Source organism: Homo sapiens, chromosome 10 (assembly GCF_000001405.40).
Source record: "Homo sapiens chromosome 10, GRCh38.p14 Primary Assembly".
NCBI classification, from domain to species: domain Eukaryota; kingdom Metazoa; phylum Chordata; class Mammalia; order Primates; family Hominidae; genus Homo; species Homo sapiens.
In genome coordinates this window covers 3,937,054-3,961,331 of record NC_000010.11, presented here as the reverse complement: position 1 = coordinate 3,961,331, position 24,278 = coordinate 3,937,054, and the positions used below count along the sequence as shown (strand labels likewise).

The window sequence follows — 24,278 nt, the reverse complement described above, 5'->3', positions numbered from 1 at the left end:
AAAGTGAGGGTTTTAAAGCTCTGTAGTGTGGTGGGTTCCCCACAGCACAGGTGCCGGAGCTCTGCCCTGGAAGGGAAATGAGCCTTGGGTGAATCTGAATGGGTGTCTTAGGTATGTGGCCTTCTTGCCAAGCCCCTTAAACTTTGCATTTCTGTTCCTAGCAGAGACAGTAACACTCTCTACTCCTTGGTGCTGCTGCAGGGGTGAAGTGAAATAACTGTTAATCTTTCATGAAACGTGTTCAACACATGCTATTTGTAATCATCGATTCAAATGTATAAGGAAGAGCCATGGCCATTCTTATTTGCATCATAAACAAAAATTAGAGTGTTGAATTAAGCTGTGGCAATTCTTAGAAATGTCCTCAAAATTTTAGCTCAATCAGAAAGCTGTGAGAAGGCAGAAGTCCCTCCTGCCGTGGTCACAGTAAGGTTCCATTTAAGCCTGCAGCAGGAGCTGAAATCAGAAAACTCTTCCAAAGCAAGAAAGTGCACTTGAAGAGTAGAAACTAACTTGATTTGTGTGCCCCAGCAGAAGCAAAATAATAGCTGATGCTTGATGGCCCTGGGGGTTGAAGTCATCTTTGGTTCTGAAGAATTCTCAGTGACAGGCCACTAGCACACGTATGCACAGGCGTGCAGGATGGAAACTCACTAGTCAGGGGTGGGTGGAGAAGCTGCAAGGAAGAAGACAGGCTGTTTGTCTCTTCTTGGTTCCTGGTTCGTGATCCTTGTACGGCATCAGGGGTGTTCGCAGATCCTTTTTGTGAGGTAGAAGGAGAGAACTGAGAAAATCCCCTCCTGGGAATAATTTTAAGTAACTACAATTATTTTTAAACATTTAGAAGCTAATGTTTAGTTTAATGACCAAAATAATGAAAATACTACAAAAAAGGCCATTGTGTGATTTCATTTTTAAAAATTCTGTCTCCAGAGAAAATATTTGCTTAGCTACAGATGCCAAAGATGTCCTCTCAGGAGTAGTTTAACTGTGCAGTAGAACATTATTAAGGAAAGCATAAATCTAGCGTTGCGTGAAAATAAAAACTGCAATGATTAAATTGAAGGCTACTTTTTAAAAAATGGAGACCAGATGCAACCAGGCAAAGTGCCATCTGTGAAGGCTTTGTGGCTTCAAGGCCACAAAAATAAAATGTGGCACAAAAGGATGCACTAGAAGTTCCAACCATTATCATGGAAACATTCTGCAGAATTCCAGATGGCCTTAGGTTCCCACCAGCTGTGTCTGGGAGGAGATGATTCCTGTGTGCATTGAGGACATCCCTGACAATGGATGCAGGTCAGGACAGGAGCCTGGTGCCCAGGGAGGGGCTGAATACCTCACACTTCCCCACCAGCTCTACTCTGCATTAAGGAAATGAAGCTACCTCTCTAGGGGGAAGAGAAGTAATAATAAACATTCCTCTCGAGATCACACACCTCCGCCTGCACGGGGACAGCCACAGCGCACGCCTGGTTCAGCTTCTGTCTTCCCTCAGCTGAGGCGCTGGGACTTTGGCTGTTTCTATTTGCATCCTGAATAGCATCAACACAGTAAAATGCACGTTTTGGTATTGTCTTCTCCTCCTCCTTTTCTTTTTCCTTTTCTAGGAGCATTGTGTCTATCGTTGGCTGTGTGGGGGTTTTTTGAGGTGACGGGGAGAAAAGGGAGATGAAGTTGTGGCAAAGAGCATTTACGAATACGTTTCCTTGGTTCTTAGTTGCTGCCTAAACTGCTGCTGTACTCTCCAAACACAAAACCGCGTCGTGGGAAGGTGGAGATGTGGCTGCTTCTGCAGCATCCCGTGTTAGAGAAACAGAGCCTGAGAATGAGACACATCATTGTCAAAAGAAGCTTCTTCTTTTCTTCACACAAGGGATGATTAGATGCTTAGTATCTGTTGCAAAAACTGAGAAAATCAAAACTTCTAAAAATTTCCTTTCAAATTTCTTTATGATCCAAGATGATACCTAATTGCATATTTTCCAAACATTCATTTTTCCAAAAGTAGAATGGGTGAAATTCCTTATGAAAGAAACCCTCAATAGTCTGTTTTTTTTTGTTTTGTTTTGTTTTTCATTTCTAGTTTTAGGCTACAGTGATAACGTAGGACCCTTTTTAAAAAAAATTAAGACCAAAGCCGGGCGCTGTGGCTCACGCCTATAATCCCAGCACTTTGGGAGGCCGAGGCGGGTGGATCACAAGGTGAGGAGATTGATACCATCCTGGCTAACACGGTGAAACCCCGTCTGTACTAAAAATACAAAAAATTAGCCGGGCGTGGGGTGGGCACCTGTACTCGGGAGGCTGAGGCAGGAGAATCCCTTGAATCCGGCAGGTGGAGGTTGCAGTGAGTAGAGATTGTGCCACTGCACTCCAGCCTAGGCAATAGAGCAAGAATCGGTCTTAAAAATAAATAAAAACAAAAATAAAAAATTAAGACCAAAATCAGCAGTATCACAGTATCATTCATCAAATGTAGGAGGTGGCAAGATTTTAGCTCTGCCATCCATGGCTTAGGAAAGATCATTACAGATAAACTCCCTGTTTTCGATTTATTTATGACTTGTTATTCATTTTGTGTATTTTTTTGTTGTGAGTAAAATATCAGCAATTCCTGAAAATACTCCAAAAAATTACAAAGGAGTATAGGAGAATGATTTCACAATCAGACTGTATTTAAGAAATAGGAATAGAATCTCATGGTTTGGATTTATTCTCTGCAGCTTTATTATATATTACACATCTTTCGCATTACTAGCCTGTTGTCGACATACATGGAGCTCCACCCCATACTAAAATATGTCTCAATGTGTGTTTTTTAACCCATCTCTTGGGAGAGTAAGGCTGTATAAAATGTTGTTGCCCTTGAATTTGAACAGAGTAGCTTCATGTCAACACAGCAGAGCATTTATTTCTTAGAATCAGGAACACCCGTTTCCATCAGAGATGTTCTGCCCTCTCCCAGAAGTGGCCGGGATAAAGTTCTTTCCCCCATTTCCATCCTGCTGCTCTCACTTCTCCATGAATAAATTGCCCCTTGTGTCTATCTCATGCAGCAGCAGATCTCCCTCAAGGTGCGATAAGTACAGAATTAGCTTCTGATGACCGGTACAAAATAGTTTTTATGATTTGAATGGAATGCAGTTCATCTTCTGATACTTGTTTGGAAGGTGGAAGGTGTATTTTCAGAGATTGTATTGCAGGGTGAATCTAGTGCAGTGAGTTGCGAATTTGCTTCTCCAGGGGGTAAAGATCATGTGTCAGACTTAAATTGTCTCCGAGAAAAGGTCAAATAACTTGATCTCTTCTCCAATAACACTGATTTGACCTAAGACTTTCTAGTTCTCGTGGGCTTGGTTTTGATCACTGGTTCACAAAGAAAAGCATTGCATGGTTCTGTTTAATGGTTCATGATTTACTTTGTATATGTAGTATGGCCTATACGTAATAGTAATGTTTAGTGTTTAATGATTCATGATTTACTTTGTATATATAGTATGGCCTATACATAACAGTAATGTTTAGAGAATTTTGACTGGGGCATCTATTCAATTATTTGATTTGGCATAATTTTTTTAACTAGAATACACTGCACAGATCAATAAAACTCCTATATCCTGATGACTGATTGGGACTGGAAATAAAGTATAGCTACAGAAATTGTAAGCTGGATTCCTTAGAAAGCGCCTTAGGAAGGAAAGGTACAACTAACGTTTTCCATGCTTTGAATAAATCCACCTCTTTAAAATAATATTTAAAGTTCAAACACTCCTACCCTATTCTATCCAAATCAGGTGCAGAGAGTGAGCTGAGGAAATGTTTAAATTAAAGACTAATTTACAGCCAGGCGTGGTGGCTCACACCTGTAATCCCAGCACTTTGGGAGGCCAAGGCGGGCAGATCACCTAAGGTCAGGAGTTCGAGACCAGCCTGGTCAACATGGCAAAACCCTGTCTCTACTAAAAATACAAAAATCAGCTGGGTGTGGTGAAGCATGCCTGTAATCCCAGTTCCCCGGAAGTTCGAGGTAGGAGAATTGCTTGAACCCGGGAGGTGGAGGTCGCAGTGAACTGAGATGGGGCCACTGCACTCCAGCTTGGGCAAAAAGAGCGAAACTCCATCTCATAAAAATAATAATAATAATAATAATAATAATAATAAATAAAAGACTGATTTACAAAGCCACTGGTCCTACCAGTGCTCGAGTGACAGGCCCAGCTTAGAGGGCAACAAAACATCGTTCATTTGGACTCCACATACTGTAAGTTGTTGGTGCAGGTTGAGGTTACACTGTGCCATTTTACTATTCAAGGAAAGACTGAAAACCCTCTTGAGATGTTGATGGGAATTTCTATAAAAGTCCTGAATGGCTATTGGTAAAATTAAAACACAGCAGAGGGAGGTAAGTAGCTTCCTGATGTCCCACGGGATACTGCCATCATCATTCAGAGACATTTTTTAAGTAGCTGTTGAGTAAATTGCCATGACTAGCACATTACTTCAGCAGAGAAGCACAGTATAAGAACAAAATAATTTTAGGCTGGGCACAGTGGTTCACACCTGTAATCCCAGTGCTTTGGGAGGCCAAGGCAGGAGGATCGCTTGAGGCCAGGAGTTCAAGACCAGCCTGGGCTCGTGAGACTCCGTCTCTACAACAAAATAAATAAATAAACATTAGCCCGGTGTGATGGCACTGGCCTGTAGTCCCAGCTACTCGGGAGACTGAGGCGGGAGGATCGCTTGAGCCCAGGAGTTCGACTGTGAGCATCACTGCATTCCAGACTGGAAGACAGAGTGAGATCCTGTCTCAAAAAATACATGAATAAATACATAAATAGTAATCATTTCAGAATGGGCTGGATTACACAGTCCTCTTCCCCAGTGAAGGTGAGGTGGAAGCCTTAGGCCCTGCCCTAAGGCAGACTCCACCACAAAGAATGCAGCTGCCAGGACAGGACTCCGAGCCCAGGCCACACAGCATGAAGTCACCAGCAGAGTCCCCCGTTTGTCCCTCCCCACCACTCCCAGCCTTTCCCTGAAAAATCACTCAAAAGATGGTGGAGCACAAAGACTTCAGGAGTTCCCTCCCTAATACCGGGTCCCTTTCTTTACCCACATGGCATTGGGCCTGCTGCAGACAGCACAGCTCCTATTTGCCTAAACACACACTCCACAGCAGGCTTACAACGTCAGCGTTTCACTAAATGAAGCAGAGCTGAACAAAGCCCCCAGGTAGGAGGATAGTTTAACCAGGAGGTAGCAGACCAGGGCCCGGGGCCATCTGCCAACTGGCCACCTGCGGACAAGCACATCTTGATCTCTGACTTCCGAACATCAAAGTCGGGGAATAAACAAGAGAATGTCCAACACTTCCTGCACTTCTAAATTTTATGAAATGTAACAAGACAAGGTTTTCACAAAAATAAAATGGAGCTGATAAATACGCACTCACGTGTTTCATTACTTTTGTGGAAGGAAAAGTTTATGGTTCTCTCTGCCTGCTTGGAGCGTGAAACTAAAAGGGAAGAGGCTGTCTCTTGGGAGGACTGAATGTTGTTTTTCTATAGAGGACCCCTGTCCAGCTCCTGAAAGACAAAGCCTGGAACGCTGGAGATTGTGCTGAGGCCTGGAGAGCACCGGAGAGCTGGAGAGCGCAATCAACTGTCTCCTGCTGGGTTCTTGCCACAGCCCCGATCACGATCACCCCTGCTGACCAATCGTTCACCTTGCTCTTAATTTCTCTAAAGGAACCCAGTAGTGTACTCGCATTTCCTAAAAAGCGACTTGCGGCCTTCTTTGTGTCCCTGAATATATAATGAAAAGATCGCTTACTTCAGCTCCAAAGACAACAAAGCCTGTTGCACTGCAGGGTTAGTTTGGAAAAAAGAAAAAAGAAAAAACAATAAATATGGATGAGTGTATGTTCACTTGCCATTTCAATTATTTACATGGGTCACAGAGGCCCAAAACATTATCCAACTCTGGGATAGAATGCCAGAGTGAGTGAGAAGCACATTTTTATCAAGTTTTTATAATATATAACTGCATTGTTTTGGCTAGACACTGTCCTAGAAAACTAGACATTTTCTGATTATGAAATAATTTATACATACCAATTTAGAAGTTATACTCGGTTCTTCAGAGCAGATAAAGCTGTAGAATGTATTTCTTCAAAAAAAAAAAAAAAAAAAAAACAGAAATCATTAGACCTTTCCTGTAGACCTACTAATACTTTTGAAGGTAAGATGAAGCTATCTTCTTTTGGACAACAAAAATCAAGAAAATAGTTTTAACTGTCTGGATTAGCTCCAGCTTGGAGAAAAATCTGGTACTGAATCACTGAGAAAATTAATTTCACATATTATAGGATTATAATACAGTCTATCCCGAGTCAGGCAGCAATAACTATTGCTTTCTAAAAGCACCAAGTGAATTAGGTGGCTGTGCCGGGCAATTAGGAGAGGGGCCTCCTGAAGAGCCAAGGGCACTCACCCCGCACAGCACTGCTGCCAAGGCTCTAGGTGTCCTTGAGCTGTTGACTGAAGGCTTCTTTGCCTCTGTTTCTGCATTTATAAAGTCAGGAATGAAACAGGCTTTTGAAATTACTTAAGGACCTCTGATAGAAAGGAGAAGAATTGCACTGGCATCTTTATGGAGCTGTACATCAAAGAAATAAAGACCGTGCAGAAAAAGGGCATTGCATGGGAATGAATGGTTTCAAATGCAATAGCAAATTAAATGTAAATTAAAGCTAACTGCAATCTCCGTATGTCAGACTCTCTCTTTTTTTTTTTTACTTTAAGTTCTGGGATACATGTGCAGAATGTGCAGGTTTGTTACACAGGTAAACATGTGTTATGGTGGTTTGCTGCACCTATCAACACATCATCTAGGTTTTAAGCCCTATATGCATTCGGTATTTGTCCTAATGCTCTCCCTCCCCCTGCCCCCTACCCACCAACAGGCCCCAGTGTGTGATGTTCCCCTCTCTGTGTCCATGTGTTCTCATTGTTCAACTCCCACTTATGAGTGAGAACATGCAGTGTTTGGTTTTCTGTTCCTGTGTTAGTTTGCTGAGGCTGATGCCTTCCAGCTTCATCCATGTCCTTGCAAAAGACATGATCTTTTTTATGGCTGCATAGTATTCCATGATGTATATGTATCACATTTTCTTTATCCAGTCTATCATTGATGGGCATTTGGGTTGGTTTCATGTCTTTGTTATTGTAAATAGTGCTGCAATAAACATACATGTGCGTGTGTCTTTATAGTAGAAAGATTTATATTCTTTTGGGTATATACCCAGTAATGGGATTGCTGGGTGAAATGGTATTTCTGGTTCTAGATGCTTGAGGAATCACCACACTGTCTTCCACAATGGTTGAACTAATTTACATTCCCACCAACAATGTAAAAGTGTTCTTATTTATCTGCAGCCTCAACAGCGTCTATTGTTTCTTGATTTTTTAATGATCACCATTCTGACTGGTGTGAGATGGTATCTCATTGTGGTTTTGATTTGCATTTCTCTAATGATTGAGCTTTTTTTCATATGTTTGTTGGCCACATACATGTCTTCTTTTGAGAAGTATCTGTTTATATGCTTTGCTCACTTTTTTATGGATTTTTTTGTTTTTTACTTGTAAATTTGTGTACGTTCCTTGTAGATTCTGGATATTAGACCTGTGTCAGATGGGTAGGTTGCAAAAATTTTCTCCCATTCTGTAGGTTGCCTCTTCACTCTGATGATAGTTTCCTTTGCTGTGCAGAAGCTCTTTTGTTTAATTAGATCCCGTTTGTCAATTTTAGTTTTTACTGCAATTCCATTTAGCATTTTTGTCATGAAATCTTTGCCCATGCCTATGTCCTGAATGGCATTGCCTAGGTTTTCTTCTAGGGTTTTTATGGTTTTGGGTTTTACATTTAATTTTTTAATTCATCTTGAGTTAATTTTTGTATGAGGTGTAAGGAAGGGGGTCCAGTTTTAGCTTTCTGCATATGGCTGGCCAGTTTTCCTAGCGCCATTTATTAAATAGGGAATCCTTTTCCCACTGCTTGATTTTGTCAGGTTTGTCAAAGATCTGATGGTTGTAGATGTGTGGTGTGATTTCTGAGGGTCAGGCCCTCTTAAAGGCCATGGCTTTGGGTGTCTGAGCCTGCACGACACTTTTATTTTGAGAGTCTATAATAAAAAGCTAAAGTTATTTCTACATTATTGGTTATGTACCTTAAAATACTGTACCTGAAACTCAGTGGGTTAAGTTACAGGACGTGAAACTGTTGGAAGAATATGGGTAAATCATGTTCAAGTCACCTGGGGTCATATAGGAGCTACTCTACTTTTATTTTTAAGTTTAGAAAACAAATGTAAGGAGTTGGCTCCTAACTTGGGTGAAATATTTTACATGTTTATATATCTATATATATATGTCTATAGTGGAGATCACTGTTACAAAATATGGAGATTCACATATGAGTCGGTTGATTTAATTTTCAAGTTTTTAATGTTTTAACAATACTTCAGTGTTCAGTAATTTTCCTATTTTTGGCCCTATTATGCTCTCAAATTTAATAAACATGACTTCTAACATTTTTTAAAGGTGGCCTTGGATTTAAAACATAGCCCCCAAACTTCTTAGCATTTCTCCTATCAAGAGTTGGGGTCTATGTTCCCTCCCCTTGACTCCATCTCAAAAGTGCATATTTAACACCTGTCTATAATATGGCAACTATTCTTTATAACCTACAGCAGGATAGGATTATACAACAATAGTATCATTGTTTTAGCCAATTAGAATTGACTGGCATTAAGCCTGGAATTATCAATGTGGATTCCAAGGTCAATATTTTGATCCAATTTTTGTATATTCTTTGTGTGTTTGAGTCTGCCTTCTGAGAAATTTGGCTTTGTCAGTGCTAGAAGTTGACTTTCCTTGGTAAATGTGTTTTGAATCTTAAAAAAGAATGGTTTTGGAACTCTTCTGACCAAGACTTTGATTTTTGCCAATCATTCTAGCTTGGCTCTTACCAGGCAGTGAGCAGGAAGCCAGGCCTGGCAGCCTTGCCAGCGGTGCCAAATGATAATACAAGTTTGTCTAGCCATGGTCGCGTCAGAGCCTCGTGTGTGTCCAACTCGACTTGAGCATTATTTTTACACCACAGAACAACGAAAGGGAAATTCATTAGTGTTGACGAGGATAGCAAGAACAAACATCACCGTGGTAGAGTTAGAGAGTTAAAGTTTATAGGCTGGGAGCAGTGGCTCACGCCTGTAATCCCAGCACTTCGGGAGGCTGAGGCGGGCAGATTACTTGAGGTCAGGAGTTCGAGACCAGCCTGCCAATGTGGTGAAACCCCGTTTCTACTAAAAATACAAAAATTAACTGGGTGTGTTGGTGCACCCCTGTAGTCCCAGCTACTTGGGAGACTGAGGCAGGATAATCACTTGAACCCAGGAGGTGGAGGCTGCAGTGAGCTGAGATCACGCCACCACACTCCAGCCTGGGTGACTGAGTGAGACTCCATCTCAAAAAAAAAAAAAAAAAAAATTAAAGTTTATAAAGTTCTCGTTATGGCCAGGCACTAATTTAATCACTTTTTATGTATTAAGCAATTTTATTCTCAGAACAACCTATGAGTTAAGTATTATTTTTAATTTTTTATTTTGCAGAAGAGTAAACTGAGGCACAGAGTTCAAGTAACTTGGCTAAGTTTTAAAAACTAGTAGGTGGTTGACCCAGGATTTTAAACCACATACTCTAAAAGCTAAGAATATTCCATTTAAGAACACAAGATACTGGAGGAGACATTGAATGTGTTCACCGGGTACTATTAGTTGAAGTTAATAATACAATTAGTCTTAGTGCTTGGAACTCCTCTCACATAAAAAAACAATAGATGTTTAAGTCCTGCTTGGTGGCTGTATTGTTTCATGAATGTATTAGCATCTATCACAATTCATTATAAATCTCTGCTTACTTATGTTTCTACTTTACTGAAATGTGAGCTGCGTCAGGAATGAGACTTATTCAAAGTTAGTATATTGAGTGTGTAGCATTGTACCTGAACTACGTATAATGCTTAATACATTTAATTTTTTTTTTAAAATGAGATAGGATAATAATTCATAGCGTGACTAGGGCATCAGAGGTGGCCATCTCCAAACTAATCCTTTGAACTCGGTGGTGGAGGAGGGTTTTCGCGGCACCTTCACTGCTGCACCCCTCACCTCCCATTTGGGGGCCAGGCAAACACCACTTCCTTTCTTGAGGCTTGGCACGCACCTACCCCAGAGACATTTTTTTAAAGGGTTGATGTTGGGGCTGCATTTGCAATAAAAGTCAAGGCTGGTGAAGAGAAAGAAATCCTTTTAGCAAAAGCAAACTTCCCTGGGATATGGTAAGAGCACCCACCTCACCCGAAGGACATCGGCCGCCCTCCTCCTACCCCAGCCACCCCAGCAGGCCTCTCCAAGGTGCAGCCAGCAAACTGGAACACAGTTGGCAGCAAGGGCCTGGTGAGCTGCTGCAGGGATGGTGGGCAGGGCCCAGGACCCCCCTCCAACCCCCCAGCATGTACATGCTGCCTGGATGGGACGACACAACACAGGCTGAAGTGAAGGGCATGCGACACGTGCTGTAGATGTCCTCACATGGTCTGCTGGGTGTTTTCTTTTTTCTTTCTTTCCAACTTTTATTTTAGGTTCAAGGGGTACCTGTGCAAGTTTGTTATATGGGCTCATTGTGTATCGAGGGGGTTTAGTGTACACATAACCGTGTTGCCCACACAATTAGCATAGTATCCGAGAGGTAGGTTTTCAATCTTCACCCTCCTCATGCCTCCACCCTCGAATAGGCCCCAGTGGGTATCATCCCCTTCTTTGTGTTCACATGTCCTCAATGGGAATTTTCCAATAAACAGCCTCACTCCCCTCCTGTACAGGGCCTATCACCCTGGGGTTTCAGAGAGAGTCAGATATTGGGGTGCTCCCTATCTAGATTTAATAGCTCACCTGCAATACCTGTGATTTCATTCCTTTCATTTATAAAAGTTTATACTCCCTATTGTGTTCTTATATTCTCAAAATATAAGCACAGAAAGCTACTTTCAAAGTCAATGAAAGGAAAAGTGTCCACCTTTTGCCTCTCCCTGGCTGCCTCTCCGATCTTTTCTTGCTACCTGAATTTCTTGATCTTGTTTCAGACCCAATCAGCAGCCCCGCTGGGATTTGTGAAAGCTTCAGGGGACCCTTCCCCTAAGAGCTAAAAAGCGAAGGCGGAAAAGGACCCTGCAGGACCAGACTGAAAGGTAAATGTAGAAGACAGCACGGTCTCCTGAACAGATCCCACCAACACCACTGCCAGGGTTCAGCACCACCCACGCTGAGCCCCGGGTCACTGTTCAGCACCACCCAGGCTGAGCCCCGGGTCACTGAAGATCTGGTTTCAGGAGGGCTGCAGAGTGAACGCCAAATGCTTCACGCTGCGAACACTGGAGGGATAAAAGCATCTTTTTCTCCCTGGCCTGGATTTCAGATTTCTCTGTAAAAGGCAGAACTGTGCACTAGCAGGCAGCTAACCCTTTTTCCTTTTTTAAGAAATAAAAAGGATACAGCAAAAGGGGAAAATCCAAAAATAAAATTCAGTCATCTAATCAGAAAGAATCCCACCAGCCTGGCAGAGTTCATCCGTGTGCAGTGCTTATAACGTTTAAAAAAAAAAATCTTTTATTTTGCGTTTGGTTCATACTTTCTGAAGACCTCCTCCTAAAGCATTACAAAAGGTAGCATTTTGTGTGTCTCAGGTCTTTTAAAAATCACCCCATATTATCTGAGAGTAAAAAAAAAAAAAAAAAAAAAAAAAACAGCTGGAGGCTTTTTCTGCAAAAAGGTGTTTAATTCTATACTCCAGGCAGCAGTGACAGAAGCTACAAAAGTCACCCCCACTCGATGAAGACAAAATTATAAACCAAGTTGTTTTACACTGATTCAAATACAGGTTAAATTTATTGGACTGATCCTTACTTACAAAAGTACTTTTCGGTATTTAAGGTAATTTTTAATGTATTTTTCTTAAAGTGATAGTTTCATGCAATCTTTATGGCAAGTTTTGCTGCATGTTTATTTTCTGAATTGTATTCATGTTTGATAATCGTTTGGAACTGTATTCTGGTGTGCGCGCTTAGTCAACACAGGATGTGGAAGACGGTACCAGTCAATCTCCATGGTAACCACACTGGCCACCCTCCAAGCATTTTACACAGGTTGCCTCATGTGTCCTCTGCCACAAACCAACCAGAGGAGGTAGCACTGTTAGCATCCCCATTTCACAGATGAGGAATCCGAGGCCCAGAGCTTTTCAGTTGCTCCCTCCAGGTCACAGGGCTGACCCGGGGCAGGGTGAGGACACACTCTGGCTTCGGGCTGCCGGGAGCCCTGAGTACCACACATACATTACGGAGACCCTACTTCCTCCTCCAGGGTAAGGAAGATCTTCCCACCCGCTACGGCCAAAGCTTTTGCCTTTCTGTAACCTCTATTCCATAATAAAGCCAAAAGAACTTTCAGAAAGAAAACCTGAACAGCAGGGTGGTGGAGCCACCCACTTTCCACGCGCGTATCCGGCTTTTCTCCTGCAGCGTGCTGTGTTTGAAGTCAGTCATGTGGATGCAGCCATCAGTAGTTTGTGTCTTCAGGCAACGCTGGAAAAGGACTAGAGGCCCTGGGGTGTTGGGAAGACACCACTCTGGTTTGGGTGGTGAGTGATAAAGGTTGCATACGTAAAATTTCACTGATTTGTGCACTTCACTGCAAATTATACCTCTGTAAATAAAACACAGTGGGGCAAACTGTTTTAAAAAAGTCAATGTTATTAGAGCATTTACCTTCTTAAAAATCTCTGATAATCGCCCATCGCTGTTAGCCCCAATTTAGTGCCACCTCCCTCAGCCTCCCTTCCACCCTCTCCACATCCCACCGGACTGGCCCCCTGGTCATCCTCCAACGTGCCAAGCCCCATCCTCTCCTACCGCTGGGCTCTGGGCATGACCTTGCCTGTGTCCAGAACATTGAGCCATTTGCCTGGCCAACACTAACTCTTCATTTAGATCCGAGCTTCCACAGAAAAAATTAGGTCAGGTCACCAAAATACACCCCTTTCTGGCTCCTCTCTATGTTTCTTTCATGATTATAGTTTTACATTTTTTTTTTTGCTGTTGCTATTTTTTGTTTGTTTTCATTTTAATAGATTTTATTCTTTTTATTTATTTTATTTTATTTTATTAAGACAGTGTCTGGCTCTGTCCCCAGGCTGGAGTACAGTGGTCTGATCATAGCTCATTGCAACTTCCACCTCCACCTCTCAAGCGATCATCCTGCCTCACACTCCCAAGTAACTGGGGCTACAGGCTCATGCCACCACACCTGGCTAATTTTTGTATTTTTTGTAGAGACAGGGTTTCACCATATTGCTTAGGCTGGTCTTGAACTCCTGGGCTCAAGTGATCCGCCCGCCTTGGCCTCCCAAAGTGCTGGTATTATAGGCATTAGCCACCATGCCTGGCTGATTTTATGCTTTAGAGAAGTTTTAGGTTTACGCAACCATAAGAGGAAAAGTCAGAGAGTTTTCCCCCGACATTCCCTGCCCCATTTATGTGCAGCCTCCCCCATCAGTACCAGCACATTTGTCTTTCCAGTTCTTCACTTCGTGTGCTTTTCCTTCTTGACTGTAAACTCCATAAGGACAAGAACTGTCTGCTTTTGTTCTAACGTATCTCTATCCTTTTCTCTGATACACCACTGCTTCTTTTCTCTGAATTTTAAATTCAGTTCTTATTCTAGTTTGCTTTGCAGGTCAGTGAATTTGATTCAAACACTTATTATTAGACTTGTAAAAATAAATTTTTATTTTATTTTTGGGAGAGGGGATATAGCTGTAAAATGACTTTTAAAACAAAGGCTTAGTGGTCTGCAAAGGTAGTAGAGTCTAACACGGAGAAACCAGAAACTTTGAGGTTTATAATTGAATTATTTGTAACTAAATGAAAGAAAGTTTACTGGAAGCTGTATCCCTAATTCCTAAAGATTACAGAGCTTTCTTAGAATTGGGTGTTAAAAATCACAGCACAAAAGGAAAAAGAAGATTAAAAAGATTTTTTTTCTGTGACTCATTAAAAGAGAAAGAGAGAGGTGGAGGAAGAGAGAGAGAGAGAGAGAGAAAAAGAAAGAAAGAGAAAGAAAGAGGGAGGGAGCTAGGGAAGGAAGAAAGGAAGGAAGGAGAGAGGGAGGGAGGGAAAGAAAGAAGAAAAGAAAGAAAGAAAAGAAATAAGGAAGGAAGGAAAGAAAGAAAGAAAGAAAGAAAAAGAAAAGAGAAAAAGGAAGGAAGGAAAGAAAAAAAGCAAGGAGGGAGGGAAAGGGAGGGGGGGGATGGATAAAAAGAACAGAAAAAAGAATGAAAGTTTAAAAATGAAAGAAATGAAGGAAGAAAAGATAAAAGAAGAAAGGAAGAGAGGGGGGAAAATCTCCCAGTTTCTATATAAAACAGGAATAAGAAATTTGTATAGACAGCGACTGCTCCCTTTAAACCCCACCCTGGTCCTCAATTGGCTAGAATTTTGATTTCCCACCTAATTTCATCAAACTCCTCTTACTCATGTTGCAAGACACAGTCTCCGATATTTTCTATTTTATCCCTACTATTCAATTATAATATATTCCACAATGTCTTAATCTATTAAATTCTACTGTATTCTATTTTAGAACTCTACTTTGCAACTAAATTATTTTACCGCTATGACATGCCTTTGAAAAAGGAGCGTGCCAGATGCAAAGGTTGGTGTTCATGAGGTAGAGCCTACCGAGAAAGGGCCAAACAGAAATCTGCTCAAACTGGTTTGCAGCCACTGTGGAAGCTGAGAAGCCTGATTGTCACTGGCCAAGTCTCCCTTTTCAGTGACTTGTTCTGTTAGCATTCCTTTACCTCTCTGGAGATATGAACTACGATGGTTGTAGAGGCTTCACATAATTCTCATCCATAAATACAGAAGGAACCTTTCCCGGAGTTTCTCTGAAGTTTGGTATGAATCGGAGAAGCACGGGGTCATATACATCTGCTCAGTGAAGGGAGGCCCTTTTGCAGTCCAGAGCTGCTCAGAAACTTTAACCTAAATTATGCACCAGTTGAAAAGCCCTGTAGTGAGTGAACCACCACAAAAATAAATTGTCAGATGAAAACCACATATCCATCCGTTCCGTCCTGTGACTCAGAGTCAGGTATTCACACAAATTGCCAGTCAAGGCTGTGACAGTAGCACACAAGGGCTTCTGCGAAACTCAATCAGTTAGCAAAAGTGACCGTCCATACAGCAGCATCTAGATGAGTTTATTACGGTGTGCCTTTGATATCTAGAGAAATGGATGGAATGTTTAACTTTAAAATCAGTTGTGATGGCAACTGTTGTTAACAACAGCTTTGACTACTGGCTGGGGGACAAGGCTGATAGCGTCTGTTTAACTGGCAATGTCTGTTAACCAGAGGTGAAGGCTCTCTCATTAACGGATTTTTAAGGCTTAGCAGAATATTTAGAACTCAATAAATGTCTGCTGAGTGAATGAATGCACAATTAAAATGTCTTCAGTGGGCCGGGCGCGGTGGCTCATGCCTGTAATCCCAGCACTTTGAGAGACCGAGGCGGGCGGATCGCCTGAGGTCGGGAGTTCGAGACCAGCCTGATCAACATGGAGAACCCCTGTCTCTACTAAAAATACAAAATTAGCTGGGTGTGGTGGTGCATGCCTGTAATCCCAGCTACTCAGGGGACTGAGGCAGGAGAATCGCTTGAACCGGGGAGGTGGAGGTTGTGGTGAGCCGAGATTGTGCCATTGCACTCCAGCCTGGGCAACAAGAGCAAGACTCCATCTCAAAAAAAAAAAAAAAAAAGTCTTCAAAATTTTTAGCTGGATGACGACAGAGGGGAATCCAAAATTCCTTCCATTCTAAACACCAGAGGCCGCTTTGAGAAAATGTTCCTCCCACACTCACTTCTTTCCAGGCTCTCCATGAGTCCCGCCAGGGCCCATGGGCCTCTTTACCTCCAATAACTTCCCTTCTGTGACTCCAAACGCTGCTACCAGAATGTCAGCTTTGCAGGCCCCAGGCCTGTCCACCACAATCTCTTCTTCCTGGAATCTTGTACTTCAGCTGGAGCAAATCTTTGAACTCACCGATGCCTCAATCCATCAGCCTCATTCTTTCTCCTCACCCACTGTTATCTTCCCTAAGAAGATGAGTGGTTTCCCCTCCCTGCCCTTCCTACTGATGTTCCATAGAAATAGAGCCCCCAGGTTTATCTTGACAAATGACTGGGCAGAATAGATTCTCTATATTGAAGCTAACCATGAAGGAAAGTGTCATTTGATGGTTTCCAGGAATATCCCTTAAAACATGTCTTTTCCACTTCATTTTTGTGTCCCTTCTTATCCTGCTGCTTGGAACGTGGATGTGATGGCTGGTGCTCTGGGCGCCTCTTTGGGCCATGAGGGTAAAAGTTAGGGATGGCAGAGTCTGGGTGTCTCAGGAACACATGTACCTGGGCTGCCCTACTCTGTGTTGGTCACCCACCTCCTGATTTTAATGTGAAAGAAACAACAACAGGCTGGGTGCTGTGGCTCACATCTGTAATCCCAACACTTTTGGAGGCTGGGGAGGTTGGATCACCTGAGGTCAGGAGTTTGAGATCAGCCTTGCCAACATGGCAAAACCCTGTCTCTACTAAAAATACAAAAAAAAAAAAAAAAAAAAAAAAAAAGCTGGGTGTGATGGTGCACACCTATAATCCCAGCTACTCAGGAGGCTGAGGCAGGAGAACTGCTTGAACCCAGGGGGCAGAGGTTGCAGTGAGCCAAGATCGCACCATTGTAGTCCAGCCTGGGTGACAGAGTGAGACTCTGTCTCAAAAAACAAAAAAGAATAATAATAACAAAAACCCTTCAATTGTATTCAAGACCCTTTAGTTTTGGTCTTTGTTACTTGGAGAAGAACCTGATCTGATCCTAGCTGAAATATTATTCATCTCACCTTGCCCAACTCTCTCTGGCTGAACTCCCCTGGCAAATCCCAACCCTGGTCAAAATGTCATCCACACCCACCGAGGGTTAGCATTAGGGTTAGGGTTAGAGGTTAGGGTTAGGGGTTAGGGTTAAAGCTTAGGGGTTGGAGTTGGGGTTAGGGTTAAGCATTAGGGTTAAGGTTAGGGTCATAGTAAGGCTTCAGGGTTATGGTCAGGGTTTAGGGTTAGGGTTAGGTTTAGGGTTAGGGTTAGGGTTAGGGTTAGGATTAGGCTCCCAACCATGCCTGTAACTCAGCAGTGGAATCAGGAAGGGAAGGTAGCCTCCCCCTTCCTGCCACTGTGATGACAGCTTCACTTTGTTCAGGCCCTGATCTTAGGTGCACCCACACTCCCACCTGCAGCTCCCTGCACCTTCACTGTCTCTGCCTCACTCCACAGGCCTCCCCAACAGAGGTACACACTCTCTGCTAACAATCCTTCCTCACACTCCATTAGAAAGTGAAAAGATTTGTTTAGGAACATCCTGGTTTTTCCAACACTGTGACTGCCTGCACACGGCGTTGCTACCCTCACTCGTGCCTTCCTCGTGTCACTGTAAGTCGTCCTGCCCTCGGCAAAGGTCCTATCCTCCCCTTGCGTTTTCAGCCCAGCCAAGCGCTCCTTGTCTTCTCAAGAACGTGACTGATAATTTTCCTTCCCCTTCTGCAGGATGAGTGTCCCTCTTCTCTAGCATCACCATCTACAAACCCACGTGGCTTAGTAACCTCTGTCATTTAAACAAAACAGAGGAAGACCCAGTGTCACTGCACACACACCTCTCTCCACAGTCCCACGACTTTGCTAATCTTCATGCGCTCACCCCTTAGGGAATCACCTTTCCTTGTCCTCTCCGACCCCCCACCCACTCCAAAAGTCTGCTCTGGCCATGTCCCAGGGAAACTGCTCTGGCCAGCCAAGCCCCAGGGACACCACGATTCCAGAGCCAGCAGTGGCATCTCACTTCTGAATCTGCTTGACCTAGCAGCATTAAGCCCCTTGGTTGCTCAGTACCTTTCTCCTGAAACATTTTCGTCTCCTTCAGATTTTTCTCGCATGTGGCTGGCTACTCTGCAGTTTCCTGGTTCTCTTCCTGGATTTGTCTTCTGCAGAGGCAGGGACCTAGAGCACCATTCCCTTCTCTGTGCTGGGTCGCAGGGCCTTCAATACAGCTCTCTCTAGAGGCAGTCTAGAGTCCTGTTCCCCCAAATTCTGCGTGCTCGGATTTTACCACATACTTGTCACCTCCCTGGCTTGGTGTCTCCCTGAATGTCTTCTTCTCTGAGTTTTCTCAGTAAACCAGCTGATAATTTAATTTATCCTGGTCCCTCCCTCTTTCTTTTAGTCTGAATACTTAATCTTTGAGCAATCCTATCAACTTTGAGATCACACTGAGTCAGAGCCCTTCCCTGTAATGCTGATATCATGCCTTACTCGGAGTCACCGACATCTCTCTCGCCCGGGCTACAGAGCACTTTTCACAACCTTGTTCTCTGCTTGCCTTTTCCCTTCTTTTCCTGTCTGCCCGTCCCTGTCCCCCTTTCCTACATTATAAGCACTATGGGCACCTTCTTGCCCTTCCCCTCACCCCCCTCCATGGCTCTGGCATCTTGAGCAGCTCTGGGGAACCTAGTAGGCCTCAGTTTTTGTTCATGGAGTGAACAACAAATTAGTACATTGTGAAGTGCATCAACTGCGTCTTGGTCTCGAAGCCGGCCCAGCTAAAATGCAGCCTTTCCTGTGTTTTGGGGGCTATACAAGGAAGCTTGCAGTGGTTCAAAGAGTGATGCCATGAAATAGCATCGTCTGTGGGATTCTCTGGCCTCAGGCAAAGCGTGGAGAGGCAGCAGCAGGCTGGCAGCAGCTCTAGAAACAAAGGCAGAGGAGGCCTGTCACGTATCTTCCCTCCTTCCTTCCTTCCTTTCCTTGTTTCTTCCCTTTCCTTTCTTTCCTTTTTTCTCTTTCTTCCTCCCTCCCTTCCTTTCTGCCTGCCTCTCTCTCTTTTTCTTTCTTTCTTTCTTCCTTTCTTTCTTTCCTTCCTTCCTTCCTTCCTTCCTTCCTTCCTTCTTTCTTTCTTTCTTTCTTTCTTTCTTTCTTTCTTTCTTTCTTTCTTTCTTTCTTTCTCTTTCTTTCCTTTTTTTTCCACAGAGTCTCACTCTGTCACCCAGGCTGGAGTGCAGTGGCACGATCTGAGCTCACTGCAACCCACACCTTTCAGGTTGAAGCAATTCTCATGCCTCAACCCCCTGAATAGCTGGGGTTACAGGTGCACGCCACCACACCAGCCTCATTTTTGTATTTTTAGTAGAGATGGGGTTTCACCATGTTGACCAGGCTGGTTCGAACTCCTGAGCTCAAGTGATCTGCCCACCTCAGGCTCCCACAGTGCTGGGATTACAGGTGTGAGCCACTGCACGGGGCTGTGTCACGCATGTTCAACACGGGCCAACCGCGTGTGTGTTCAATGAGTTACGTTTTACACGACGCCGGCATTTGGGCCTTGAATTGATCATTTTCTCCTTTGTGTGCTTTTCTGCTCATTTGGGTTTGAAATTTATGGGCAGTCCTTCATCCTGTTTTACAAACATGTTGATTACGGCAGCCCCTTGCAAATGCGTTGTGAATTCTCCCTCCAGCAGCTAAAGCTTTCAAGTCAGGGCGTGGCCTTTTTATTGCTCTGAATTCCTTTTCAAAGTCAATTTGTCAAAAGAAATCAGCCTCAGTTAATCGAATTGTCCTTTTTATTCAATGTTTGATGTGTGGAATCTTTCCAGAAGCGTGGTAACATTTTGTTTTATTAGAGACTAGCTTCCACTACTGGTTTCAGAGAACTTTCCGGCTCCTTCCTCAGGAACTTGCTTTTAGATCGGCCGTGGAGACTTCAAACTCCAGGACTCTTAGCAAAGGGCATGTGAAGCAGCACCTGTTTTGCTGCCGCTGTGGACTCTCAGCTCCCTTTGATGTCTCCGTGTTCTTGGAAGTGTGTATCAGCTCCCCTGACGTCTTAGCGGCCTAGGACTGAGGGAGGAGAATCGCTCTATGAGAAACAGGGAACTTACCCCGGTTGAACAAGTGAACGACAAAAATCTCCTTAGCCGAGGAAGAGCAGCGTCTTTTAGCCATGCTTTCTCGGAGCCATGCTGTCGTGAGACATCCCAGCACTCTTCCTCTTCCCCTGGGATTCCAAGAAGTTTTTTTTTTTTTTTTTATTTCATTTTTTAATGTATTTCAGCTTAACTGAGGATTAATTGACAAATAAAAATAGTATATATTCAAGGTGTAGAATGTGATGTTTTGATATACATATACATTGTAAAATGATTACCCCAATCAAGCTAATTAACACGTCCACCACCTTCCCTTTGTGTATGTGTGTGTCGTGACAACACTTAAAATCTACTTTCTCAGCAAATCCCAAGTATACAGTACATTGTTGTAAACTATAGTCACCACGCTGAACCTTGGTTCTCTAGAATCCATTCCTCTTATAACAGCAAGTTTATGCCCTTTGATCAACAGCCCCCCATCCGCCCATCTCCTGGACCCTGGCAACCTCTGTTCTATTCTCTGCTTTTGTGAATCAGCATGTCTAGACTCCACATGTAAATGAGATCATGCGGTGTTTGTGTCTCTGCACCTAGCTTATTTCACCTAACATGATGTCCTCCAGGTTCATCCACGCTGTCACAAATGGGCAAGATCCTCTTCCTTTTTAAAGCTGAGTAATATTTCATGGTACACATATTTGTGCATACACATATCACAACAAGAAAAAAAAATTTTGTTGAGATGCAGTCTCGCTCTGTCACTCAGGCTGGAGTGCAATGGCACGATCTCAGCTCACTGTAGCTTCCGCCTCCCGGGTTCAAGTGATTCTCCTGCCTCAGCCTCCTGAGTAGCTGGAACTGCAGGCATGGCCACCATATCTGGTTAATTTTTGTATTTTTAGCAGAAACAGGGTTTCACCATGTTGGTCAGGCTGGTCTTGAACTCCCAAACTCAGGTGATCCTCCTGCCTCGGCCTCCCAAAGTGCTGGGATTACAGATGCGAGCCACCACACCAGCCAACAAGAATAATATTTGTGTCGGCAGAAAAACAGGGCAGAGTGTTCTCTAATATTTTCCACAGTTATATTTAAGAAACAGGTTTTGTGTTTTGTTGAAAGGTTAGAGAACAGTGATGAAACTACTAAATTTTCTGAGTGGAGGTTTGACAGAATATTTTGCTATGTGCATGGACACTTGCTGTCAATGGACGAGATATTAGGGTTCCTATGAAATTCTCTGTACAGTTGAGATACCTCCCTAACCAAATTCAGAGGTGCCGAGAGAGAGAGGGATCAAAAGAACTCACACCTGTCATCACAACACTTTGAAAGGCCAGGGTGAGAGGATCACTTGAACCCAGGAGACAGCCTGGGCAACATAGTGAGACCCCATCTTCACAAATAAAAACAAAAACTAAGAAACAAAGCTGCCTTACAGACTCCCTGGTTGGACAGATGGGAAAAGGGGCTCCTGTTGGGAGTGCAGAGCCCTGTGCACCTGCGGCCCTGCAGGGGGGAAGCTCTTGATTTAGGGGACCGCACACATCATTTCTCCTGGTTAGGTTACCAGTTCTGCCCAGTCCTCAGTTCCCCTTGTTTCTTCCCTAAATCATTCCCAGGCTGTCACTATGGCATACAGACTCCAAACTTGCAAACACATAACACGGTGCAGATACCTGCCCACGATGAAAGGGGCTTGCTTCTACCTACCACGTGAGCCTCTACAGGCCATAGCCTGTGCTGTGATGCTGTGATGTCAAGGCCTGGTAGGCTGGTGTCTTAGTCATGTGGGCTGCCGGAACAAAATACCGTAGACTGCATCTCAGCTTAAACAACACACATTTATTTCTTGCCATTCTGGGGCCTGTAAGTTAGAGATCAAGGCTCCAGCAGATCAGGTGTCTGGTGAGGGCCTGCTTTCTGCATCATAGACAGCCCTGCCTTCCCTTGGTGTCCTCACAGGGAGGAAGGGGTGAGGGAGCTCTCATGGGCCTCTCTTATAATGGCACCAATTCCATTCGTGAGGGCCCCACCCTCATAACTTCATCGCCTCCAGAGGCCTGACCTCCTGATACCATCACCTTGGAGGTGAGGATTTTGACCTATGCATTTTGGGGGAACACAAACATTTAGATCATGACAGGTGGTGTGGAACTGGGGTTCCTGGATTCAGGACAGTAAGGAGGCTCAGCAAGGCCTGAAGTGAAATTGGCTTTCTCTTTTTTTTTTTTGAGACGGAGTCTCGCTCTGTCGCCCAGGCTGGAGTGCAGTGGCTCGATCTCGGCTCACTGCAAGCTCCACCTCCTGGGTTCATGCCATTCTCCTGCCTCAGCCTCCCAAGTAGCCGGGACTACAGGCACCCACCACCACGCCCAGCTAATTTTTTGTATCTTTAGTAGAGATGGGGTTTCACCGTGTTAGCCAGGATGGTCTCGATCTCCTGACCTCGTGATCTGCCCACCTCGGCCCCCCAAAGTGCTGGGATTATAGGCGTGAGCCACCACGCCCAGCCTAATTTTTGTATTTTTAACAGAGACAGGGTTTTGCCATGTTGGCCAGGCTGGTCTCTATCTCCTGACCTCGTTATCCACCCGCCTCGGTCTCCCAAAGTGCTAGGATTACAGGCATGAGCCAGCACGCCCAGCCTGAAATTGGTTTTCTTTTGATACCTGGATACCTCTAAATCCTTTGGCTCTGACTTAGTCAGGACTATCCAAGGAAATCTACCACACAGGAAGTGATGGACTTCATCCTACTCATGAGAAGTAAGTACTTTTTAAAGTTTTCCTTCTGACGATGAAGGTCTCTCAAAGCCCATGACATTCTCCCAGCTCCCTACCAGCTTGGACTGTCTCACTTTTTATGCAAAAGGAATCTTTTGGCTCCCTTCTCAAAAGTAAGCTCTACCTGGACACAACAGGACACTGAGTCAGGGCCTCACTCTCACCACAGCTACACCATGAACTCTGCCCGGGACCGCAGGTCCCGTGGGTACATAACCATGACCAAGTTGGCCACAAGCACCGTGAGTATGGCGTGGGTCGCCCTCTTCCCTGTCTCCCTGCTGGACACCCACCCACCCCTTAGCGCCTGCAGAGAAGTCCCCCCAGGAGTCCAGGCCTGGGTCCCTGTGGCCCTGGGGGGTTTGTGGCGACCCCAACACGAGCTCTCTGCGACTGCACGCACAGGTATGCAGCCCAGGCAGCCCTTCCGTGAGCTCTTGGACTGGGGCTCATCCATCGCTGCACCTGTAACACTGGGCATTTTTCCCTGTAAACAGGAGACATCAGTTTAATAAGCATTGATTTCATTTAACAAGTTTGTATTGAGTAATCTCTGTGCACCTCAGTCCTAGGAATACGGCTGAAAAATGGTAAAAAAGCATCCAGGCAGTTGTAAATTGACATTCGAATCTAATTTGCATTCTGATCAGTAAGTAAATTAATATGCAAGTGAGCAATTTCAAATACATTATGAAGAAAAACCAACAACGTGATAGATTGGGATGGAGGGTGGGGGTGGGAGCTGTTTTTGATGGAATATTTGGGGGGATGCTTCTCAGAGTCTGAGTGAGATGTGGGCAGAGAGAAGGAGCCAGCCAAGTGGGAGATAAGAAAGGGTTTTCCTGCTGAGGGGGCCTCTAGAAGCCCTAAGCCAGGATCAGCTTGGAATGTTCCAGAAACAGAAAGGATGTCAGTGTCCCTTGAGAGCTCAATTGGGGAGTGGAGAGAGATAGATGAGTTTATAGACAAAAGGCTTCACACCTGCCTTCTCGGGGGTCCAGGGGGGATCTTGAGGGTCCAGGAAGAAGTGTGTGGCTTACTTGAAGAAAATGGGAAGCTGTGGAGGGTTATAAATGGGAGGGATATAATTTTTTTAGGTTTTGCAAAGGACACACTGGATGCAACATATTAGGAGAGAAGAGGTTGACATGGATGGACATTTTTGAACTGATGTTAAAATAAAACATTTGATTCCTTTTTCTGTACCTTTATGAATGCAGATGAACATACCCATTGTATGAGTCCATTCTCATATTGCTATAAAAAAATACCTGGGACTGGGTAATTTATAAAGAAAAAGGTTTGATTGGCTCACGGTTCCACAGGCTGTACAAGAAGCACAGTG

At 44.0% G+C, this 24,278-nt stretch overlaps 1 long non-coding RNA gene across 3 annotated transcripts, besides 1 other annotated feature; it reads right to left on the bottom strand.

Annotated features, from left to right (window-relative positions):
* Positions 1,434-1,935: an enhancer, noted in NCBI's record as "H3K4me1 hESC enhancer chr10:4001589-4002090 (GRCh37/hg19 assembly coordinates)". NCBI's record gives its function as "activates a minimal SCP1, AML or CMV promoter by ChIP-STARR-seq in primed H9 embryonic stem cells {active_cell/tissue: H9 hESC(primed)}" and the evidence as "EXISTENCE:reporter gene assay evidence [ECO:0000049][PMID:30033119]".
* LOC105376367 (uncharacterized) lies at positions 11,975-18,386 on the bottom strand. Of its 3 annotated transcripts, XR_930585.3 has the most exons (3): positions 18,118-18,386; positions 14,979-15,188; positions 11,975-12,823 (listed from the first exon to the last, which is right to left on the bottom strand). It is a non-coding gene; the product is annotated as an uncharacterized LOC105376367 (long non-coding RNA). The 3 variants fall into 3 exon arrangements; XR_930584.3 differs by lacking the exon at positions 14,979-15,188; XR_001747333.2 differs by lacking the exon at positions 18,118-18,386 and having other exon boundaries at positions 14,979-15,910.
* Between the last annotated feature and the right edge of the window lie 5,892 nt (positions 18,387-24,278).